The following is a 23,831-nucleotide window of genomic DNA, read 5'->3' as shown; positions in this document are numbered from 1 at the left end:
TATACATAAAAATATCACACTGTACACCTTGAATACTTTTTTTTTTTTTAAAGAGACAGAGTCTCACTGTCACCAAGACTAAAGTAAAGTGGCAGGATCATAGCTCACTGCAACCCCAAATTCTGGGCTCAAGCAATCATCCAGCCTCAGCCTCCTGAGTGGCTAGGATAACAGTCATGTGCCACCGTGCCCAGCTAATCTTTTTTTTCTTTTTTGTAAAAGATGGGGACTTCACTATGTTGCCCTAGCTAGTCTTGAACTCTTCGCCTTGAGCAATCTTCCCACCTCAGCCTCCCAAAGGCATGAGCCATCACTCCTGGTCCAAATACATACAGTTTTCACTTGTCAATTATACCTTAATAAAGCTGAAAAAAATATCAAATACTCAATTAATGAACGGAGAAAATTTTCCACTTAAGAATTTTTATGGCCAGGCTCGGTGGCCCACACCTGTAGTCCTAGCACTTTGGGAGGCCAAGGTGGGTGGATCACCTGAGGTCAGAAGTTCGAGACCAGCCTGGCCAACATGGCGAAACCTCATCTGTACTAAAAATACAAAAATTAGCCAGGTGTGGTGGTAGGCACCTATAATCCCAGCTACTCAGGAGGCTGAGGCAAGAGGATTGCTTGAACCCAGGGGACGGAGGTTGCAGTGAGGTGAGATCACACCACTGCACTCCAGCCTGGGCGAATGAGTGAAACTCCGTCTCAAAAAAATAATAATTTTTATTTATTTTATTTTTATTTTTTAGAGACAGGGTCTCCTTGTGTTGCCCAGGCTGACCTCAAACTCCTGGGCTCAGGGGATCCTCCTGCTTTGGCCTCCCAAAGTGCTAGCATTACAGGCAAGAGCCACCACACCTGGCCCAAGAATAAGAATTTTTAATTATAATTTTTAAGAATAATTTTTCCGAAAACTTAGTAGCAATTTTTAACTATATAACTTCATAAGCTGAATACAACTGCAAAACAGTCCCAGTCCCAGGAAGTGAGGTGTGAAATTCTTTTGGTTATTTTAAAGGGCTTCTTTAAAAATAAAAAATAAAGATAATTGGTATGTGATTATATTCTCTAGCTTAGGCAGCCTCAGCTTTAATGCATCACTGAGCAAACAATGAAATGTCTTTATGTGAGTAGCTGGTTGGAAGGTTTCATAGCAGAACAGTTTTTCCATATGCTGGAGAGCAGTTATAACTGGAACCATCTAGAGCCTCCTCACTCCTCTGGGGAGGACTGTGGGCTCTGTTCTCTAATGAGATGAGTTTATACAAGTTTAGCCTGAACACAGCCCTTATTCAGCTATCTTCCAGTGTGCATATGGAAAGTTTCCCTTAGATATCCCTGTAAAGATCAACCTAAAGTAAAGAGGTCTTGACCTGTGGTTATACTAAAGATCAGATTTCAGGGAGGTAAAGGTGGAACTAGCACAGGACTCTATGTGCTCCAACCTCTAAATCCGGCTGTGTCTTTCTACATAATTCTCTCTCCCAGTGTCCCATTTCATTCATGTTTCTGCAGTACGCGTTACACACTGCACTAACCCTCAGGCAGGGTTTGGCCATTCTTTCAAGTTTAACACCAACTTTTCCAGCAACAGAGATATATTAACGTTGGTATAAATGTTAAGGCAAACCCTTATCTGCCGTCCCGCTTTTTATCCCGGGTACTATTTGGTAACAAAGCAACAGTGACAGACCCCTTCAAGACCAAAAAGGAGTATTTTTCTGCATGAGTCTCAGATCTGCTCACTTTGGCTTAAGGAGAAAGCTGCTCTCCTGGCTACTGGCTCACCAGCTTAGTTGACTGTCTGAGTTCTGCCCTCCTTTTCTTCCTGTCATCTTTCTCTAATCTCTACTCTGGCTATTTCAACAGCCCTTCAACTCCTGTCACTTTCTGTGTTTTTGAAGCCAGAATTTCACTAAAATGTCCTCATGATCTTTATAACTTTACTATCACTCTCAGTCTAGGAATTCATAACATAAATTAGCACATTAGGGAAATTCTTATTCTGACTTGACTTTTAATCTATTGAGCACCAGAAGCCCAGCCAACTAGAAACTAGGGTAAGAGGGAGAACAGAGTCAGAATCATTCTTAGCATTTCACATAAAACATAGACTCTTTAGCTTAGAGAAGGCTTAGCCATTCCCTCTTTTTCTAGTGATATCCTTGAGTTGTTTACATACTGCTTTGGCTGTACAGATCAAGAAACTACAACCCAGTCTGGCGAGGAGATAATGGTTCCAAACACCCAATTCAGGGCCTGGCTTTATCCCAATCACCACATCCTCAAATCTAGACAAGTCTTCTAGGTTCTTAGCCCTGGGTCCATGGATGGGTTGCAGGCTGCCAATTCCCCCTTACAAGGTCCTGTGCTGTGTAATGAAGGTTGGTCAATGATGGACCACATATACAGTGGTGGTTCCATAAGAATATGATAGAGCTGAAAAATTCCTATCGCCTGGTGACATCGTAGTGCAGTGCATTACTCACATGTTTGTGGTGATGCTGGTGTAACAAACCTACTGCGTTGCCAGTCATTTAAAGTCTCTCTGACGTTTGCACAACAACAAAATTGCCTAAGGGCACAGTTTACAGAATGTATCCCCCTTGTTAAGTGACACATGACTGTGTGCATTTTGCTGGAATACGTACACATCTCTCAGAGGGTTCCAAACCCCCAATGGTTAAGAACCACTTCACTGGACTTAAATGATCCAAATAATAACCTCACAAGAATGTCAGCTCTACAGAGTATGAATCTTTGTTTTGTTCACTGATGCACCCTAAGTGCCTAGCACAGGCCCTGGGACGCTGCACCCTGAGCAGATGGGGCTACATGATTCCTGGTCATGGTTTACTCTGAATACATTGAGAAAAAGAGCAACGGTAGACTATTTTCAGGACCTTTCACATGAGGGAGGACCAAGATTTCTCCTCGTGATCAAAATCATCCAGGAGAGTTGGTAGCTGCATTACCATCTTTTTTTCTTTTTTGAGACATAGTCTTGCTCTGTTGCCCAGGCTGGAGTGTAGTCATGCCATCTCGGCTCACTGCAACCTGCTCCGCCCCATGGGTTCAAGCGATTTTCCTGCCTCAGCCTTCTGTGTAGCTGGGACTACAGGCACCTGCTACCACACCCGGCTAATTTTTGTATTTTTAGTAGAGATGTTGGCCAGGCTGGTCTCGAACTCCTGACCTGAGGTGATCTGCCTGCCTTGGCCTCCCAAAGTGTTGGGATTACAGGCGTGAGCCACCGTGCCTGGGCCATTACCATCTCAATGTTAGATTTCCGAACAATGTTGGCCAGTCTTGCTAGATAATCTAAAAGAATGGTTCTAAATCTGGGAGATTTCAAGTTTATCTGGTGAAGCTGTTTCAAAATGCCAACCCATTCTCCATCTGTTCTCTTACTCTCAGCTCCTCCCCCATTCTGATTACACAGCTCTAGTTTAGAGCCAGGTAATGAGTTATTGCGAAAAAACCCTCTATGTGACTGATACCTTCTTCTCCTTCCACAGAATGAGAAGTGCTGATCTAAGAAATAATCTAAGCAGGATCTGAAAAGGAAACACAAGTACACTGAGTTTACTAGGCTCTTGATAAAGCAACTTCCAATACAGGGAACAAATGCATTAGATATGCCTTGTTCAGAAATAAAACAATAAGGCAAAGGAAGTAGAGAATCTACCTTTAATGCCAACTCCATCTGTTAGGAACAGACAATCCATCAGATGGATCCTAGGGGTTAGGAGAACATGACAAAGAGACTGTCTGAGGAAGACCGAGATTGTATTTTTATTAGTTTGGTCCAAATTCAGTAAAAATTGGCAAAGTGCTCTCATTCCAGACATGCCCAGTGCTCAGCTAATCCCCTCGCTGCGGAGTAAGAAAAGAATGTACAGAATTATGAACCCCCTGCTCCCCAAATAGGAGGGGCTCCACCTCCTGAATGCAAGGGCCGAAACTAATCTCATCAACCATCCCCTCCTAATTATAAACTAGGTAGAGAAATAAGGTGCTTAACACAGGTGTTCTCCTTCTAAACTTTATGATTTGTAAACATGCTTTACCCCACTTCCACTAAAAACCCAGCCTTTGCCAACCTCAATTCATTATTGATTGGCAAACAAGAACAGAAACTATCCCCAGAATAATGTTTCTCTCCGGGAAATCTTGGGGAAGGGGTGCAATAAGGTCAGCCCCACCAAGATGCATTTTCCTTGGACTTACAATACATCTTATTACACTGAGAACACCATGTTCCCAACCAGCTTGGTCTCTTTTCTGTTACAAACCTGAAGTAAACAGATTCTACAGCAGCTACAAGTCTGTTACCAAGGCCACTGTATTATCAATATAATTAACATTCACAATTCATCTAGTCCAGCATGACAAGCCAGCTGGGCTACTTCTCATAAATGAACACTGGGAATCTTCATGTCTTGCTTGCTAAGAAAGCTGGTGCTCAGAAGCTGGGCACTGAACCCTCAAGTATTGAATAATAAGTGGGATACCACCTGGCCACCCATAAGAAACTGAATTAGTTACCAAAGCAACTGGATACATCTGCTATCTCTAGGAAGCACCTATTTCAACTTCCAAAATAGCAAAATTTGCCGGGTGCAGTGGCTCATGCCTGTAATCCCAACACTTTGGGAGGCCATGGCGGGTGGATCACCTGAGGTCAGGAGTTCGAGACCACCCTAACCAACATGATGAAATCCCATCTCTACTAAAAACAAAAACAAAAACAAAAAAAACACCAAAAAAAATTTAGCCAGGTGTGGTGGCACATGCCTGTAATCCCAGCTACTTGGGAGGCTGAGGCAGGAGAACTGTTTGAACCCGGGAGGTGGAGATTGCAGTGAGCCGAGATCGTGCCATCACACTCCAGCCTGGGCGACAAGAGCAAAAATCCATCTCAAACAAACAAACAAACAACACAAAATAGCAAAATTCTGAAGGTCTCCTTTTCCCCTGAATCTTGCCTAAGTTATACACTTGAAGTGAAACAGAACACACAAAATGTAGTGCCAACTAGAGCCTGAGCTTCTGGCTAGGATAAGCATTGGCCCAGTTCCCAGAAGACTGTAATTCTAAAGAAGGTGTGTTTCAAAGAGAGAAGGGCATGTATAGCTTTTGAGCATCAAACTCAGCCTTTGACTCAGAAGGGGCAGCCAGGGTTGCAGAGTAAGAACCAGAAGTTTGCTCATCACTGCCGGACGGAGCTGTTGTTTATTACTTTCAGAGTTCCAATGTACTTTCCAAAATCAAACTATTCAACTCATCGCTAATCCCCAAACCTCAAATACCCTATGTGAAAGCCTCCCTGTTCTTTAAATCAAGAGCATGTATAAACCAGGATACCAGTTTCAACTTTGGACAGAGTCTCCCTAATGCTAAGGGTTTAAAAGTTGTTTCAATGGTGAGAAATTCAAGTTACCTTCCCCATTATTGTCTAAGGATATCCCTATGCCCACTGCCACTGGGCTAAGAAGCTGGAGGCATATATTCAGATGTCTTCTCCCTGACCTCCTATTTCTGGCTTTATAAAGGGATCTATTAAGTTGGAAATTCTCATCAATTTCTCACCTGCAGTTCTTGGTACTTCCTTATACCTATGTGAGAGGGCTCTAAGTTAGAAAAATCACCCCAGCCAACTGAAAGGGAAAGTGAGTCAAAGCCACCACATAAGTCCAACTTACTTTCTCCAAGGAATGATTATCTCACATTATTTTATTCAATAAGCATTTATTGACAGTATTATGTGCCAGGTACTATATAAATATGTGTGAGATACGGTCTTTGCCCTCAACATATTCCATCTAGAAAAGTCAAATGATGAGTAAAATTCAAATATCAGGTCAGTCCTTAAAATATAATAGTTTGAGAAGTACTACATTGAAATCCAACCTATTTTTGAGAGACATACAGAAGCAAATTATTTTGTTTAGTTTTGATAATCTACTATGTGAGCTACTATTTCAAACACTCCTACGGAATCAGCTCTGGAGCTTCAGGGGCATCTGCATTTCATATGAAGAGCAGTAGAGTTGAGATAATACCAAAAATTCCCCCAAAGTGGCCGAAATGCCGGTTCGAATGTGTGTTAAGTTCCTGAGCTGAACTCTCAAGGCACTTATAATGAGTCTTTTGGGAAGCTGAGGAGCATCCCAAAGAGGGAGCTGACAATGCCAACAACCTCAGCTTTGTTCCAAGCCATAAGGACAAACTGCAGGCTGGAAACTTAAATCTCTTAGCAGTTTGTGGACTTGTAATGAAAAGAGATGCTGTGGCTTGGAGGCCTGGCCTTCCACATCAGGACTTTAAAACCCAGGATCCATGAGTTTCAGAAGTCCCATAAATCCTCTAACAGAATACGCATATTTTTGTGCTCCTGAATTTTCCTGAGGAAAGAACCAGGATTTTCATTAAACTCTTAAAAGGACCTCTGACTCAAAGAGTAAGAACCATTGTTCTACAGTCTCTAATCCAGTGATTCTCAAGAGCATTCCCTCAAATAGGCAAAAGAGAAGCATATTCCAATTCTCTATCTTCTACACAAATCTGTCTACTTACTGACCTCTCTTCTAAAATTAGAAACAAAGATGGGGATGTGCATTTTGAAAATTCAAAGTGAATCTCTATTTTCTACATCCCCAAAATAAAGCTAACAGTCATGAGAACCTGAAGTCTTCTCCTTAAAGTCTTTGAGAAAGGAGAAGGGGTGGGTCTGGTCAAAGAGGGCAGATCAGAATCTCTGTCCTTTAACTTTTTTTTTTTTTTTTTTTTTTGAGACGGAGTCTTGCTCTGTTGCCAGGCTGGAGTACAGTGGTGCGATCTTGGCTCACTGCAACCTCCACCTCCTGGGTTCAAGCGATTCTCCTGCCTCAGCCTCCCGGGTAGCTGGGACTACAGGTGTGTGCTGCCACACCCAGCTAATTTTTTTTGTGTTTTTAGTAGAGATGGGGTTTCACCATGTTGGCCATGATGGTCTCGATCTCCTGACCTTGTGATCCTCCTGCCTCGGCCTCCCAAAGTGCTGGGATTACAGGCGTGAGCCACTGGGCCCAGCCTGTCCTATTAACTTTTATGGTAGGTCTCTCTCTTTTCTTCCCCCCGCCCCCAGATTTCTGGAACCACAAAGGAAACAGGTCATGGCCCAAAAGCTTTGACGTGAGGTCTTGACGTGAGGTCAAGCCAGTCTTGGGGGAAAAGGGACAAAGTATTTCCCATTAAGCATATGGAAACCTATGTCCCAAAGGTTCACCTTAATACAATTAGTAAGTACTAGAAGAGTTGGAGCCATTTATTAAAAACAGAACTTCCAAAATCCTCTCATTGCTCAAAACTCAGTATGAACGGCTTCATTCAGGAAGTCTAAGTGAATGAAAGATGGTTATACTCATCTCCTCCAGCCTCTTGCCCCTTTACTCTGTCACTCACAAATTTACTACGTAGTTCACACTGAGCCACACATCATTGTGGATCAGCACATTAGCATTTTCCTTGGCACACAGGCTCAGAGGGATTCCACTAATGCCATCGTACACTCGCAGGTTCCGGAGAGAAAAGAAAAACATGTCAACAATAGGGTGTGCTCTTGCTGAGCAGTTCCTCAAATTGTGAAGAAGTAAGCCTGAGGCAGGTCCAAGATGAACAGCATGGAACAGAGAGCAGTCCCAGACCCCTCCTGTTTAATATGCCCCATTTCCATCACACAACTGAGTACAGGCTGTCCACTTTAAAACAAGTGAACTGGCTTGGGCTGGTAGAGAAGAACATGTTAAGCCCATTAAGCCCCACAGGTTAAGTACACAGGCACATCAGCGGAGGCGTTGGGGCTTTTATGGTAAGAAGCAGGAGCATGCTTGGAGAGTCTTGTACCTGTGGTTCTCAAAAGTACTTTTCCAATCTCTACCCCAGATTTCCAAATACTACCTTTTACCAATAGTTCATTAAACTTTTTACTTTGTGTTCCATTTGGGTAGTGAATGATTAAGCCCCCCAATGTATACTGATAAGCAGTATCCATCATTATCTACATTCTGAGATTAAGGCACCAGGCTAAATCCTTTAGAAAAATTAAACAGAGATAGAAACAAAAATGAAAGCAGTCTGAGTCTCTCAACAAAGGCATGGATGCTCCACTCTAGTTCTATGAGTGGCATGCAGCAAAGGCCACACATTTCTACAGGAGAAAATCAGTTATACATAATTAGAAGCAGGCTGTTAAGAGCAATGAGAAAACAGTACCTGCAGGGATGGGGGCGGGGGTGCTGGAGTACATACCTAAAATGATAAAGTCACAGTTCAGAAGTCTTTGCAATTATTTCATGTAATTCAAGGATTCTAGTTTGGGAAAACCCCAAACACCTGAAGTTTAAGGAAATAAACTCCTGGACTGAGACTGGCCCAGTGTCTGACAAATACCCACATTCTATGAGTGCATTATGTATTACGGGGGATGAATGGGGAATGGTAAGGTAGAGGACATCTCAACTCCATCAAAAGCTCTAAGATCTCTGTCTACACACCCCACCCCTGTAGTTAACAAAATGTTTTGGGGTTCAGTAGCTGTAAGCTCTATATAAAATAACATTTTTGTCAGAAAAAAATTTTCTTATTGAAAAGACATTCCAATAGAAACTTCTTTGTTTTGGCTCTTTAACATTTCAAAATTAGGCTCTCATTTGCACTATCATGTTGCATCATCCAGAGAGTTATAAATAGGGTGGCCACATAAACCAGGGTAACTTTCAGAGCTACGGAGGCACTCCTTGGACTGCATGCTAGGATAACAGGTATAAACCAGAATTGCGCCAGGCAAACCAGGATATATGGTCACTCTAGGTACAAAAAAACCCCACTAATTACTATTTACTAAATGCTAACCCTCTCAACCATGTATATAGATAGCACTATCATTGTTCCCCATTTTACAGATGAGAAAAGGACGTCACTTGTTGAATGTCCCACAACTATTAGATGGTAGAGACTAAAGGTAAAACTGACTCCAAAAATCAGTGCTTACCTTATGTTGTACTACTACTCACAGTTTTAGGAACAGAAACGGGAAGTTAAAGGCGTCTTATGTAACAGCCAAGCAACAGTGGGACAAAAGAACTACTTGAGTGAGTCAAAGGAAAATATGGAATCAGAAAAGGAAAGGCAACTGCAATTCTGTGTGAATTTTTATTAACTGCTTACTACACAATAGGCACTGATAGTATTGACAATAATCAAAAGGAAAATTTGTGGTAAGAATTTGTCTTCAACTGGGGATTCTCAGATTTCAGGCTAGAAAAAATTCTGGTCTATGCACGTAGGTTGCCCTTCACATGACAGGAATGCTTCTGACGCACCTCATTAGCATGTGTTCTGAATTACTATTCAGTTCTAAATTATAATAAAATGTATCCAGTATAATCAGGGTTGACATTCTTTATAAAAATGCAATACTCACATTCCCAAACTTGAGAAACAGGTACGTATAAATGATTCTCCTTTATTCGCCAGTTCCTTTAAAACAACCCCAAGAGGGCATTAAAGTGCTTATTTACAGATCATTAACTACTCGGAGTGGCAGAGTACACTTGCTAGGAGTCACAGGCAACTAAAGACCTGCATGATTCCATGTATCAAAATATCCTTTATAGACAACTTTCCAAGAATACTATATTGGGGTGGGCGTGGTGGCTCTTGCCTGTAATCCCAGCACTTCGGGAGGCTGAGGTGGGAAGATCGCTTGAGCCCAGGAGTTCAAGACAAGCCTGGGCAACACAGGGATTTCCCCATCTCTATAAAAAATAAAAATAAATTTTAAAAAAGAATATTATATTGGGTAAAACACTCTGGATCCAAATGACACACTCCTGATAAAAGAAAAGGTATACATTTGTAACCTTGGCAGCAAAAGATCTAGACAACTACTGATCTAGAAATCTTCTAACAGATTTCTGTTACAAGCTAAATGTCTAAAGAAACTTGGAACAAAGTAATTTGGAAACTAGAGTGTAACTAACTAAACCAAACAAGAAAAAGAGATGTAATCAATACCTGCGGAGAAATCTTAAAAAGAGGATCTTCTTACACCCCAACTCCTGTTTTAAAGACTGCTACTACAACAGCAGCCACTCTAAGGAGAATCAAGAGATACTAATGATGTGAAGATAGGAAATGCCAACCTATGAAATCTCCTTTCAGTGATTCTGACAAGTCCTGGCGTAAATTCTATACAACTGCACCAAAAATTAACCGTAAGATAACTCTGATGACAAAAGGAGAAACCTGGATTTTACCTATCGGGTTAACACCCAAGCTGTACCCATTGGGGCTCTACTTGGTGTGCTTCCTAAGTCTCAGCTGACCCTTTTGATGAATTAGTGGCACATAGCTTCATTCAAATAAAGAATATCCTATAAACAAAAGTAGTTTCTTCTGTGCTCTTCTCCTTCCCCACATTTTGCTGATGGGTCTGACTCCACAGATCCTAGGTCAAAATGTTTAATGGATCACTCTGGAGAGTGCCTTTAATGTTCAGAAGTTCAGAGAACAGCAAATGTTCTGAAAGGCCTTCCGGAGAAACATGCTTATTGTAAGAGCTCTCCAACAAGTTGGAGATTTGGGTTTACACTATGAAAAAAGAATCAACTTGACACAGTGTCAATTTCCAAAGGTCCAAGGACAGTTACCACTCCTGTTACACAAAGTAGCAGCAAAAGAGGGATAAATAACCAGTGGTTATGGGGAACTAGATTACTTACTTGGTTTGACCGATAACTGCCAACATTAAACAAGGATCTTCTTCAGTTGTGGTACACTTAACTCTTAAAACTCAAGGATTCCTTTTCTTACCTCAAATTTTCCTAGCCATACCATCTGAAATCACCAGTGACAGTCGTGAACAAGCCTTACAATGTGAATTACACTACAGCTATTAAGACATTCCCGTGAAAAATTATTTTAGAACTCTGTGTCAGGAAAAGTCGTCCCCTTGAGGAATTGACATGTATTATTTCCCATGCCTGCTAAGGAGACTGTAACTATGATTCTTTTCATCCTCTGGCTGCTAAAAGTTTCAAGTTGCATGTGATCAACCTCATCAACTATCTTAGCCCTCGAGGTTAACAATATTTTTTTCATTCTTTCTATAGTTTTTACTTCCTTTTATATCACATATATGTTCTGTGTTATAAGCCACTTCAAATGCCCATTGAAGAAAGAATATAAATATACGAATAGACTTTTAAAAAATTACACTGCTATCTTAACTCCCCAACATGCCCCTATCTCCACCTGTTCCAAAAAAAATAGGCACTTATTTGGCAGATGAGGAGATGCAGGTACAAAAGCTAATTAATTTGCTCAAGGTCATATCCCTTTAGTTGACTTCTCGACACCCAGACATCTCAAATCTTCAATCAAACCAACAAGTCCTATTTTGTTCATAGCAGTGTGATAGACCTTGGCATACAAAACTGAGTAAGTCATGATTATAGCTGAAGAATCTAGATATTTATGCTTTTAATTGATGGACATCCACTCTATCTCAAACAAAGCAAACAAAATGAATAAAAGCTGACTCTGTCTCAAACAAAGCAAACAAAATGAATAAAAGCTGACCAGAAAGTGACACTGGGATCTGATCTAACTGAGGACCATCAAGGTCACCCTGAAGTAACCTATATCCTCTGGCATCAAGAACATCCTCAATTCCTGAGGGGCCTCAGGGCTTCAGAATAATCCAAGGATTACTGGTCTAGAGCCAGGGTAGAATTCTCATAGGTGAAGGACTGCACCATTTGAAGAGGTCTTTTTCTCACACCATTAAGTACCATGCCAAGTTACTTTTTTCCCTCTTACTTTTCCCATGCTTTCACGTTATCAACACATGGCAGAGGTACAAAAGTGACTTAAGTCTTAATGTTCAATTCAGCAGTTCTGAAAAACAGATTGCCTAGGACTTGCTATGTGACCTTGACTAGTCCTCAACTGATCCATTAACTTAATAAATGTCTTTTATCATCACTAGGGAAAGGGTAATTAGTCATCATGAAACACTTTATTACAAAGTACTACGTAAATGCTAAAGAATAAAACTTAGAAGAGAAAGATTAATAAGAAACACGGTGGGGCACATTTACTGGTAAATGGAAACTTAAAACAGGGTCTTCCCACATTCCTGGCAGAGCCTGCTTCTTTTAGCTAATGCAATATAAGTCTAAAATCATCAGCACTTGGCCTGACAATAATACACATTAGTAATATTCCTCCTGGGAAGAAGAGAGGAAAAGGGATAGTTATTCATGGTAGGTGGCCACATGGACATCTCAGTTACTAGTTAGCCAGGTGAGCAATTAATATTTGAGTACCTACTGTATGCTGGGTACAAAGCTAGGCACACTGGATACAAAGGTGAACAAGAATCCCTGCCTTAATGAGTTTTTACAATCTACGATATAGACTTTGTCTTATCAACAGTGGTACTTTCAAGAATACAGATTTACTAACATAAAGGCAAGTAACAGCAAAGAAGACAGAGTCTGGGAAATTCAGGTATTAGGGCTTTCCCATTCTTTCCTCTAACTCATCTAAGGTCCCACCCTCAATCATTCTGCTTATAAGGACTGTGACTGTTTCTCCAAAGAATAGTGCAGATTGCAAAGGGTCATTGTCCCAACAAAGCAGTCAACTGAACTCTCAGCACTAAAGTTAATCAGATGCCTCAGAGTCAAGGAATCTTCCACAATCTTTTAAAGGAATTAAATTCTTAATTTTGTGAGAAAACAGCGAAAGCACACAATGGCGACTCGTCTTTTTTGATCTTGCATTTGATTTCTGGAGTGGCAGGTTAATTCACTTAAAAAAAAAAAAAAGAGCCATCTCTCCCACTTAAGACAGCTTAACTAGTTGAAGCCTCAAGGACTTAACTATTCCTGCAGCCCTTGCTTTGTTCAGCCCTGCATCCCATTAAACACTGGATGCAGGCAGAGACAGCTTTGTAAGACTCTGTCTTTATAAAGAAGGGAGACATTTATCTGGGTTCTCACTGGCTTCAGGAAGGTCACCTCTTTGTAAAGGTTCTCTGGTCTACTGCTAACTGGGTGCCAGGTGTATGGAAAATCAAGATGTGGTTGGCAGTAAATGATGAGAAAGCAATAAGGATCCCAATTCCACCACTCGGAGAGCTAGTCAGACTAAAATCTCCAAAGGTTGCCATTTATGAGAGAATTCGAAGGGTGTCCTTTGAGTCAACCTACAGCACAATAGATCAAACTTGTTCTGCCTCAAAAGTACAGTCAAGAGTGAGCAATCTTCCCTTACCACCCACTACTCCAACCCACCCAAGCTCCTTTCTCCAGGGATGCCTAAGTGATCTATTCACATGACTCTAGGATCCACCTGTATCCATGACAGTGTCTGCTGTCACCAACCTCCAAATGTCAATTTCTTACATATTTCGAAGTAATTGGAATGCTGTAGAAAGTGAAAATCATAGATTTTCAGTTTCATGTTACCCTCATCGCTTTCACCTGTATATCAGAGCTAGCTTCACGCATTCTTTTCTCTTGCCTCCCAGCTATCACGCAGTTGTTGGATAAAGCGGCCACTGCTCCCAAAGATTTGATGGAAGTTCTGCCAGATTTACCCACTCACCTGAAGGGAGATTTTCTGTACACCCCATGCCCCCGGACTGGTCACAAGGGTCAGCTGAGTTGGTTCACCCCCTCCCACTCTCGTCTTCGAGGCCCTTCATCCAGGAAAAGTCAGTCGCAAATTTAAGGCCTGGCCCTGTCGGGTTTCAAAACGATCCCGGAGGACTTGGGCCGAGGGACAAAGGAAAGCGAGGTCAGAGGCGGCCTTTCAGCCCGGGAGAGGCCTGGGGCCGCACAGCCGCCACCCCCTACATCACCTCCGCCGTCCCCAGTCACCCCCAGAAGTCCCAAACTAGCCAGAGCCCGGGCTTGCTCGCGTCCCTTCCGCGAGGCCGGAGCCCGAGCCCCCGCCGCCACCCAGAGCCCCCGCACCTTCTTGGGCGCCTTGGTGACGGTGGCCATGAAGGAGTACTTCTCGGCGTCCTCGATCTCCTTGGCCTGCTTCAGCTCCTCCCCGACCCCGGGCAGCGGCATCGCGTCAGGCATCGACATTCCCCGGCCGGCCCGGCCAGCGGCTGACCCGCCGCCCCCGCCTCTTTCCCCCTCTGGCGCCCGCCCGCCTGCCCGCGCGGCGCCCTCCGACACGCGATCGCCCACCCTCCTGCCGGCCCCTGCGTCGAGCTGCGTCGGCTTCTGAGGTGCTGTGGCCCACGCCTTGTCTGTTCGGCAGCCCAAGGCAGCCGGACAGCGACGGCGGCCACAAGAGAACCAGAACAGCAGCTCCGAGCTCCGACCTGCCCGCGCCGCCACCTCCGCTGTACGCAAACACGCACGCAAAGCGAGGGTAGAGGGCGGTGACGCCACGTCAAGTACTGGCAGCTCCCGGGAGGGGGAAGAGGCGGGGAGAAAGGGCACTCTGTCGTGACGTCACCACGCTGGGCTGGGCCACAGAAGCCGTTCCTCTCCCGCTCGAGAGCGAAGTTCCCAGGGTGAGCAGGACCCTTTGTGCCACCAGGTGGCACCATCAGCCCTGGGAGCAGCGCGAGGTTCATGCAACGATGCTGCGGAACGGAGGGTCTTTGGGCTGCGGGGTTCCTGGCAAGGCCTCAGAGGCGCATGAAAGGGGTGTTTGGGAGCAAAGACCAGAGCCCCACACGACACATCCTACAGCGATTCCTAGGAAATGTCCGGGGCTCGAGACAGCCCACTCACTCACTGGCCCAGCCCCAGGCCCTTTGGATTAAAGCTCCTTCCCAAGGGGCCGTGCCTGTCTTTTTGACTTCATAGGGGGCAGAACTGACTCAGAGTAGTCTGGTTTCTGCACAACGCTTTGTGACTTCCTCCACCACCATCTCCGACTGGGCCTTGCCTGTTTACAAAACCCTCATTGGGATAGGGCTGATGGGTATGAGGGTGGAGACCAGGAGAGCTGATGGAGAAGTCCCCAGCCAGAATGGCCTTCCGGTCCTTGCTCCACCAAAGCATTAGACCCTTCCAGCTCTCAGTGGGCATCCAGGACATTCATGGACTGCTCACACCCTTTTACTGGGCCTACTATGTGCAGTGCCTGTGCTGAGGCCCTGCTGGCAAAAGGACATGTGACGCATTTTATGTTTTGCAAGGCTTAGTTCAGCTGGAGAGGCAAAACCTGCTTGTATCCTAATGTCAGCTGAGGTAGCTTGTCCTTTGAGATTCAAATGACATTGGCTCCAATTACCATGTCCTGTGGAAAGTCCATTACTGGGAGGACTTGGATTTTCATGGTCACCTCTGGCTCTAGTTTTTTTGCCTTGTCTGGCATTTTATTCACTATTCTGGTCTTGTGACTGTTTCTGTAGCTCCTGGGGTCAATTCAGCCGCTTCTCCTTTCAACCCCCACCCCATGCTAAACAACTACAAAATAAGGCTGTAACATGTAGTAAAACTTTTAATAAAGGTTTGTGGGTCACAGGGGAGAGATTACATCACACAGCAAACAATTTAAGAACACATTTCTGAAATGTTCTGAAAAGTTATTTTGGCTGTCTTACCACCCGGGGATTTCTCAATGGCCACAAGATCCCACCACGCTCCCTAGCCCATTGCCATCTAATCTAGCTTCCTCCTGTTCCTCCCTTCCCATCTCTGCACCTCATCCTTCCTTCCTTGATAGACTCTGGGAAGCCAGATTCTCCTCTGCTGTGCTGAGCAATTCCAGTCTTCCCAGTGCCCTTTCCCTAAATTCCTCCCCAGGACCACCTTTTTTTTTTTTTTGAGATGACGTCTCGCTCTGTTGCCCAAGCTGGAGTGCTCTCAGCTCACTGCAACCTCCGCCTGCCGGGTTCAAGTGATTCTCCTGCCTCAGCCTCCTGAGTGAGTAGCTGGGACTATAGGCGTGCGCCACCGTGCCCGGCTAATTTTTGTATTTTTAGTAGAGACGGGGTTTCACCATCTTGGCCAGGCTGGTCTCGGATCCTGACCTCGTGATCCACCTGCCTCGGCCTCCCAAAGTGCTGGGATTACAGGCGTGAGCCACCGCGCCTGGCCAGGACCACCTTTTAACATCCAGAAACCTCCCAGGTTTTTAACAGGGCATACCCTTTCAAGAAGGAAGTTTTGGTTTGAAATGGCATTTTCCCCACTGATTTGTGTTCAGGGCTGGGGAGAGTGTGAAATATTCACCTCTAGGGCCCTAAAAGTCTTAGTCAGGGAATCCTGTGTTCCAGCCACCTAGCCTCATGAGACTGTCTGTTTGAAAAGGGCTGTAGAAGTGCCTGGAAGAATGCACCCTTTGCACATCTGCAGACCTTGGTCTTGAACTGTTTGTATTCTTTCATCTGCTCACTTTTTTGAGCACTCACACTTCCCTGTCAGGGGCATCACTGTAGCAGAACGGGAACAGAGATGGAGACCAGAATACCAGGTTCATCCATGAGGGTGCCAGACTGACATCTTTCAGCTAGGGGTCAGGAACCACACCTGGTGCACTAAGGACTCTCTGAACATAAGGCTCACAGTGGCTTTCATCCTTGTGGGTTTGCCCAAACTGTTGGCAGAGCCCAGGGATCAGAGATGCCTGCCCAAAGACTCGAGGCAGAACCCATTGGAACCAGGGATGAAATCTCAAGTCCCTATAGTAGAAAAATGTGTGACTTAAGAAGATCTTTTTTTTTTTTTTTTTTTTTTTTTTAAAGAGAAGCATCAGTGTATCTGTCTTTTGGATTTGATTTTTAGAACTCACTTTGTCTAAACATGTTGTCTCTCAGTCCCCCAGTTCTGCTGTGCATTTAAGCATCCAGACTGTGAGCTTCCTGGAGATTGAAGTTCAGTCTTTACTCCTCCTGGACCAGGTCTGCCCTAGCACCAGGCTCACAGTGTTGTCTGCTATTGCTGCTGCTACAGAGGATGACAGACAGGGCCAGGCCTAGAGCATGCAGTACCTTAGCAGTCTGGGCTAAGAAGGAGATCAGCAGGTCAGACTCCACTCACCTGAGTGGCTGGCCTGAGGGGAGGTTGATGAGCTGATGTAGGAGAGTTCGGGGACTCAGACTGGAAAGGGGAAGGGCAGCACCCCCTACCCTGGTGGAAAGCATTAGGCCTATGTGGTTCAAGTGAGGCCAGGGGCCCGGGACATTCTTGGAAACCAGCCACTGCAGGGGGCATGGGTGGCTGCCATCCCTTCCATCACGTGTGTGCTGGAGAGCAAAGAGCTCACCCAGCCAGGGAGTGTGACAACATAACATCCGTGAGAATCATTGCATCCTGTCTCCCACCCCCAAAACCCATCCTAAGATAGCCTCACATGGCACAGCTAAGGCGATTGCTTCTCATGAATGCCAAGAGATGACTTGTCTTCAGCCTACCCACCCACCTGACTCAGCACCTCTACTGGCAAGCTCACTGCCCTGAACAGCGCATCCACACACAGGTGAGAGACCCCCCACGGGGCAATTGGAGAAGAACAGGGACCCAAAGACAGATGCACCTGCTGTGTGTGGTGGTGGGAAGTCTCCAAGGGCCTGGAGCGAAGACCCTTGCTAGAAAGGAGTGGCCTAAGGGCAGTGGTGAATTGGGAGATGCTGTCACCAGAAATGTAGTGGCATTGGGCTACCACACGTGGGCTTGGTCTTGTTAATCAGATTCACTGTTTGTCCACCCCCAAATTGATGTTCTACATTCAGTCATTTGTTCTTTTATTTATAAAATATATATTGAGTGCCGAAGAAGTGCCAGCAGCAGGGCTAGATGTCAGTCGGGACTACAGAGATAAATAAGCTGAGGTGCTGATCTCTACGTGGGGACAGGTGATGGGGGTGGGGTGCAGTGGAGGGCAAAGGGATGACACAGAGGGAGATGCTGCCAGAGCTGAGTCTTGACAGATAAGCAGCTGGGCAAGGGAGGGAAGATTCTCCAGGCTGAAGAAACAGCCTGAGAATAGGCATGGTGATGGAAACAGCTTGGCATATTACGGGAACTGTAAATATCCCCATGTGGGTGGGGCACAGGGTGCAAAGCAGGGTGAAGTGAGCGCTGAAGCCAGGGCCAGATCCTGCAGGGCGTGTTAAGCCCTGGGTGGGTGGTGGTGATGTCTGCCATGCTGGGGAGCACAGGAGGAGAAGCAAGTGTGGCTAGAGGGGTGGAGGGGGGCTGCTGAGAGGAGTCAGCTTGGGACATGTTGAGTTTGATATGTCTGTGGAGGGCACTGTCCCTGAGTCTCAGGGGAGCCCAGGTTGGCACCTTTTGGAACTGCCCGCTCCCTGCCAGTCAGGCTCCCCACCAGGGGGAGGCTGTGCTCCTCCTGAAGGCCTTTCACCTCCTGTCGGCCAGGTGTTATGTTAGCCCTCTGGAATGAAAGTGCAGAAAAACTGCAGAGATCTTGGGTGACAATGGAAGTTCGGAAGAAGGTGAAGAGGGCAGTGGCTCTGTCTCTAGCTCTCCAGCATGGGCAAACCCTCCAGCTCCAGGCTTCTTTCTGTCCCAGAACTGCTACCTTGCACAGCTCTAGGAGGCACCACTGACATTGTAATTATTGTGAAAGGTGCCCTGGAGCACCACTTCAGATTGGTCACCTACCTCGCTGGCCCTTAGGGACCCCCAGAGGGTGGGCTCCCGGTTGCACCTCTGTGGCTGTGGGTGCTGGTCCTCAGGCTTCCTGGCTCCTACTTCCCACCGAGCTCCCTCCCTCCCTACCCTCAGCCTTTTCTCCTTCCCCTTCTCCAGTTCCAGTGGGAAAACATTCCTCCTTCTCTGTCTCCCCCTCTGCTTATTATTGTCATATTTATTAGGATCACTTACTCTTTATTATCATTTTGAACATTATAGGAAAGAAAAATCCATGAAGATTTTTTAAAAATTTCTTTTCATCTTGTTAAGTTCACTCCTAGTTCTTAGCAATTTGCAGAAACTCATTTTTACATACCTGTGATTGGTAGGTTCATGTCCTTTTGTATTCTGCTTTGATCAAATTACAATATTTCAAAAACACATGACCCGAACGGAGAGCATTGACATACTTGTTATTATTGTCCATGTTTTCCAAGCTTTCTGTCATATTGCTTTATGAGTTTGCTTAACTGTTTTCCTATTGTTCGGTATTTGAATTGTTTCCAACTAGTGCAATATAATGGAATGGAGGGAGGTGGTTTCGGAGTGGGTGTGGGGATGGCTTTCAAGCAAAACAGGCGAAGATGGGTCACAGCACCAGCTCCTGCCAGAGAAAGGGAGCAAAAATGTAAGTAGTGGGGGCAGTTATAATGACTGTAAACAAGGACCAGGATAAGGAGGCACCTTTTGGCCCTAGAGGATCTGAGGTCCTGTGTCTGGAACTCGTGATAGCTGACTCATGGCGAGGCTGCATGGTGTGAGGAAGCAGGAAAACTGGGCAGAGATGTGGGCTCAAATCTTCACTCTGCTACTAACTTGGCCACTGGCATCCTGGACCTTTTTTGACCTCCTCTTCCTCATGCAAGACAGGTTGATAGCTCTCCATCTGGGGCTTGTAATGACCTAATCCAGTAAGATCATAAATATGCAAAAGCTTTGAACAAGTTGCAAATATTGTGCAAATGTAAGGTACTAAGATGTGGGTCCAGGCTAACCATGGAGGGCAAAGGAGCTATTGTTGAGAATTTGGAATTCTCTCTTCGCTCCGCTTCCCGGAATGACAGGAATAAGCAGAAACCCGTCTGCTGCAGGAAAGGATTGTCATTGCTGGTTTTGAGTACTTGTTGACATGTGGATGTGTTTCCTCAAAAGGGAGGGCTGACACTGCCCCAGCCATGAGAAATTGCTGCTTTCCTGGCCCAACCTGGCCCCGGGGTCTGGCTGTGTGACCAGCAGCCCCTTGGAACTTCCTCACATGCTTTTTTTCTAGGTTGGACCAGAGATCCTGATGTATCTTACTTCAGTTCCCAAAGCTGCCACACATTAAAGTTCATACTGAGAAGGCATCCACCAATTGTAAACAATGTTCAAGAAATCTGTTCTGATGACTGTTTGTGCTACTTTGTATGTTTTTTCCTGCTCTTAAGTGTGTATATGGGAGCGGGGAGGATGGAGGTGGGGATGGTGAAGAGTTTACCAAAAAAGTAGAAATTGTGAAACTGGCCTTGGACTTTGGCCTCTGCCCAGTCAGTTATTTACTGAGCATCAGCTTTGTCTCGGGAGCTGTGCTGAGCGCCAGGGATCCCACAGTAAACAAGACAGACACAGTTCCTGTCCTCATGGGGCTTAGAGTCCATAGCAGAGCTTTGTCAGAAAATCAAGGTTCCCAGTACTGTCTGAGAGGGCACACCCTCTCCTTGCTGTCTCCATGTGCCCCACCCTGAGCGGTCTTCCAGAGTGTGTGGCATGCTTCCTCTCCCTGCTTCTGAGGCTGTGTCTAGCCCCATGCTAGGGAAGGAAGAGCAGTCTCTCTCCCGAGTTCAGAGATGCTGACCCACCCTTGAAGTAGCCCCAAGTCTTTTAGAAGCTTCTGGGATACTGCTTCCCTGGCAGATGTGCTCCCCCAGGGCAATGGTGAGTGGGCTGGTGAGATGTAAGTGTCAGCTTCTGGGATAAGGGAGGACACTGCCTGTCTTTGCCTCTCCCAGGCCTGCCTCTCTACCCATAACCTGCAACCTGCCTCTAGGACTGGAAATAGTCCTGGAATCGCAGAGACACAGGTGGCCAGGATGGTTTGATATCCTGGTGGGTACTCCTTCAGGATGCCTGCTGGGGGCTAGTAGAGGATTTGTCTTGACTGGAAAGGCTCTGGGGCTGATGGAGTGGAACAGACAGAAGCTGCCATCTCCCAAAGCTCAGGTGCTCAGGGTCTTGCCCCTTTGCCCTGAAGGGCCCGGCCTGTGGCTGGTTTGCTGGAGCCAGAGGAGAGTGGTCGGCTGCTGGTGGTGCGGAGGCTGCTGCGGGGTGGGAGCCTGCCTTCCTCACCCTCTCTGGTGTGCAGGGCGGGCCCCATTGCATCACCCTTGGAGTCTCTGCTCCTGGCTTTGCAGCCAGCTGGGCCCCTGGAGGAGGGACTCTCCCTGTTTTTCAACAAACCATTAACCATTTCACCCTCTCAAGCCCTCCCTGCAACCAACCTGGATTCCCAAGGCTGCTCCTCATGCCTCTCAACCCTGGTCTTGAAAACCTCCCTTCTCCTCCACGATTCCAGGAGCTCTGCCTGGACAGCCTTTTAAGGGTTGAAGGCTCCACATGCACAACGCAAGCCTGGCCTCTTCCCCGGGGAAAGAGTTAAGCCTTGTCCTCCACACCCTCAGCATTTGTCCCATTCTGCAGCAGTGAGGACAGAGCTCTTCAGCCTCCAACATGAGCTCATGCCACTTCCACACTTCCACAGAGTCCTGACGGAGGGTCAACACAATATTTTAGACCAACGGCAACGATGGATCTCATGCCAGAACCAGGAGCTTGGACCTTGGCCTCTCCACAAAGGCCCTTCAGCCATTTCCTGCAGACCCGCTTGGCCCTTTGACCTCTTTATAGGGGTTCAGGGAAGGAGTGGGTGATGTGAGGGCCTGGAAGGGCTCAAGAGACTGATGGAAGAGAGTCGCAAGTACACAGTGTTTCCCTGTTTCTGTTCGGGCTAGATGAGGAGACATCAAGGGGTGGGGATGGAGAGGCTGTTCCAGTCAGTGAAGCCCAAGCCTCATTCCCGCTCGGGTCTTTTATCTCCCAACCCCAACATTCCCTTCATCGCCCCACCCATTCCAGGGCCTGAAATAGCCCGAAACTTCATCCAAGCCTAGGCCCAGGTCCCAATTTTAGTTCCACAAACATTTGGCTGCTCCATAGCTTGCAGGATCCTGAGCTGGGTCCCGTGGCGGATGCAGAGATGAATGAGGCCCAGCCCTTGCCTTCAGGGAGCTTGCAAAATGTGTCCAGATGACTGCAGTCAGAGGCGGAAGATGCCCGTGGAAGAAGAAAGAAAGACGCTCCCCGTAGAGGGAATGGGGCAGGCTTGTGAAGGAGAGTTGGTTTTGTTGAATCTTAAAGGATGACTAGGATTTCAAGAGGCGGACATGAGGAACACTGACTTTAGATGGAGGGAACAGCAAGAGCAAGAATATGGAGGTGTGAAATGTAGGGTATGCTCTGGAACATGGCCAGCAATCTGGTTTGACTGGAGCACATGGGAGAATGTGGAGCTGCTTGCGGTTTCTGTGGATGTGTGAGTCTGTCTAGATTCCCTACAGGCTGAGGGCTCCCAAGTGCCAATGACCCACAGATTCCCAGAGCTTTACAGAGCAGCCTATTTGTTAATCCTCTATTTAGGAACAGAAAGGTGAGAAACTTGCTCAGACTCTAAAGCACATTCGTGACACAGCGAGGACTGGACCCAGGTTCTCCCACCCTTATCTGTTTTGGCTCAGTTCAGGTCCCTTAATCCAGGAGGCTTCGTCCGTGGAGTTGGCTGACTCAACAGACTCTGCCATCCCTTAGGGGTCCAAGGAGAAGTATGAAATGAACAACCAGTGATCATGGATGAACACATGAATGCTCCTCATGGTGTTGCATATTTGCGTATTAATGAGGAAGGAATAGCTTCACGACACTTGATGGGAAAGACATGCCAGTATTTTTTATTTTCCCACATTTATTTAAATCTGGTCCCAAATCCCATCCACAGTGGGTGAAAAGTCTAATATCATTTTTAGGGCTTCCTCTCTTGGCTCATTGGATTTTACAAAAAATAAAACAAAACAAAAACCCCCAAATAAACAAAGAGTTCGTTCTTGCAGGACTGGAGCAGCTGGTTGGGATTCAGTGGAGCTCGCCACTGCTAATGGCTGCCCCTCAGACTGTAGGCAGGTCCTCCCTGTCTGTGGGTACTGCTTCTCCAGGCAGGCTGGGGAGCTGCCCACTCACAGTGGTCTCTCCCAGCAGCAAGCTACTTAGTGGGCTTTCTTCAAGCCCCCTCACCCCCAGCTCTACCTCAGGTTGTGCCATCCCCAGGGTGGAGGGAAGAGTTCCAGTTGGATCTCAACTGCTGCCACTTGTGGACACTCGTGATCTCCCACCCTCTTTCCTGGTGCTGGAAGTCACTGCCCACAGGTAAGGCTACTCTGCTTTTCAATGGAAAAACCACCTTCCAACCTCTTTGACATCCTGGACTTGAAGCCCTGGCTGCCCCCTTGGCAGGATGTGGAGAAAATGCTTCACATTCTTTTCTGAAGAGTCCACAGCCAAGAAAACCAGATATGGCTGATTTCTCAATCATGTTATTATGCCACACTAAATGTTCAATTAATCGCTATGTTACACTTACAACAGCAAAAGAAAAGTTCAGCAGTAAGTGACTAAAAATACCGTACAGTCATAGAAGGCCATACTGTGTAGCCTGGCAGAAGGATATTTAATGACATGGAAAGTTGTTCATGATAATATTGGTAGCTGAAAGAAAGCAGTTTTGAAAACAGCATCACGGTGTGACCCAATTTTTTGGTAAACATGAAATTATATATTTATATAAAGAAAAAATAACTGAAAGGTAAACACCAAAATGCATATTTCCTCTATGTGGTGAGATTACAGATCATTTTTATTTTCTCATTTTTGCTTGCTTCCTTTTTCAAAAATTCTGCAATGAGTGTGTATTACCTTATGTTGCTGAATAATTCAAATTAAATTTTAATTTAATTTTTTTTTTTCCTGAGACAGTTTTGCTCTGTCACCCAGGCTGGAGTGCAGAGGCACAGTCATAGCTCACTGCAGCCTCAAGCTCCCAGGCTCAATTGATCCTCCCACCTC

The 23,831-nt window shown here is 45.8% G+C and overlaps 1 protein-coding gene across 4 annotated transcripts in view, besides 2 other annotated features; it reads right to left on the bottom strand.

Moving 5' to 3' along the window:
- AHCYL1 (adenosylhomocysteinase like 1) overlaps positions 1–14,441 on the bottom strand; it is a 38,978-nt gene extending 24,537 nt beyond the window's left edge. For 3 of the 4 annotated variants that reach the window (NM_006621.7, XM_011540535.3, XM_047440112.1), the window contains exon 1: positions 14,034–14,441. In NM_006621.7, coding sequence (NP_006612.2) covers positions 14,034–14,153 — 120 coding nt within the window. In that variant the 5' untranslated portion in view covers positions 14,154–14,441. Of the gene's footprint in view, positions 1–13,662 lie in introns of all 4 variants that reach the window. The other variant, NM_001242673.2, reaches the window with a different exon arrangement.
- Positions 13,896–13,965: a silencer, noted in NCBI's record as "silent region_1164". NCBI's record gives its function as "represses an Ori minimal core promoter by ATAC-STARR-seq in GM12878 lymphoblastoid cells {active_cell/tissue: GM12878}" and the evidence as "EXISTENCE:reporter gene assay evidence [ECO:0000049][PMID:35858748]".
- Positions 14,146–14,215: a silencer, noted in NCBI's record as "silent region_1163". NCBI's record gives its function as "represses an Ori minimal core promoter by ATAC-STARR-seq in GM12878 lymphoblastoid cells {active_cell/tissue: GM12878}" and the evidence as "EXISTENCE:reporter gene assay evidence [ECO:0000049][PMID:35858748]".

Source organism: Homo sapiens, chromosome 1, assembly GCF_000001405.40.
Source record: "Homo sapiens chromosome 1, GRCh38.p14 Primary Assembly".
NCBI classification, from domain to species: domain Eukaryota; kingdom Metazoa; phylum Chordata; class Mammalia; order Primates; family Hominidae; genus Homo; species Homo sapiens.
This window is presented reverse-complemented; position numbering and strand designations above follow the sequence as displayed.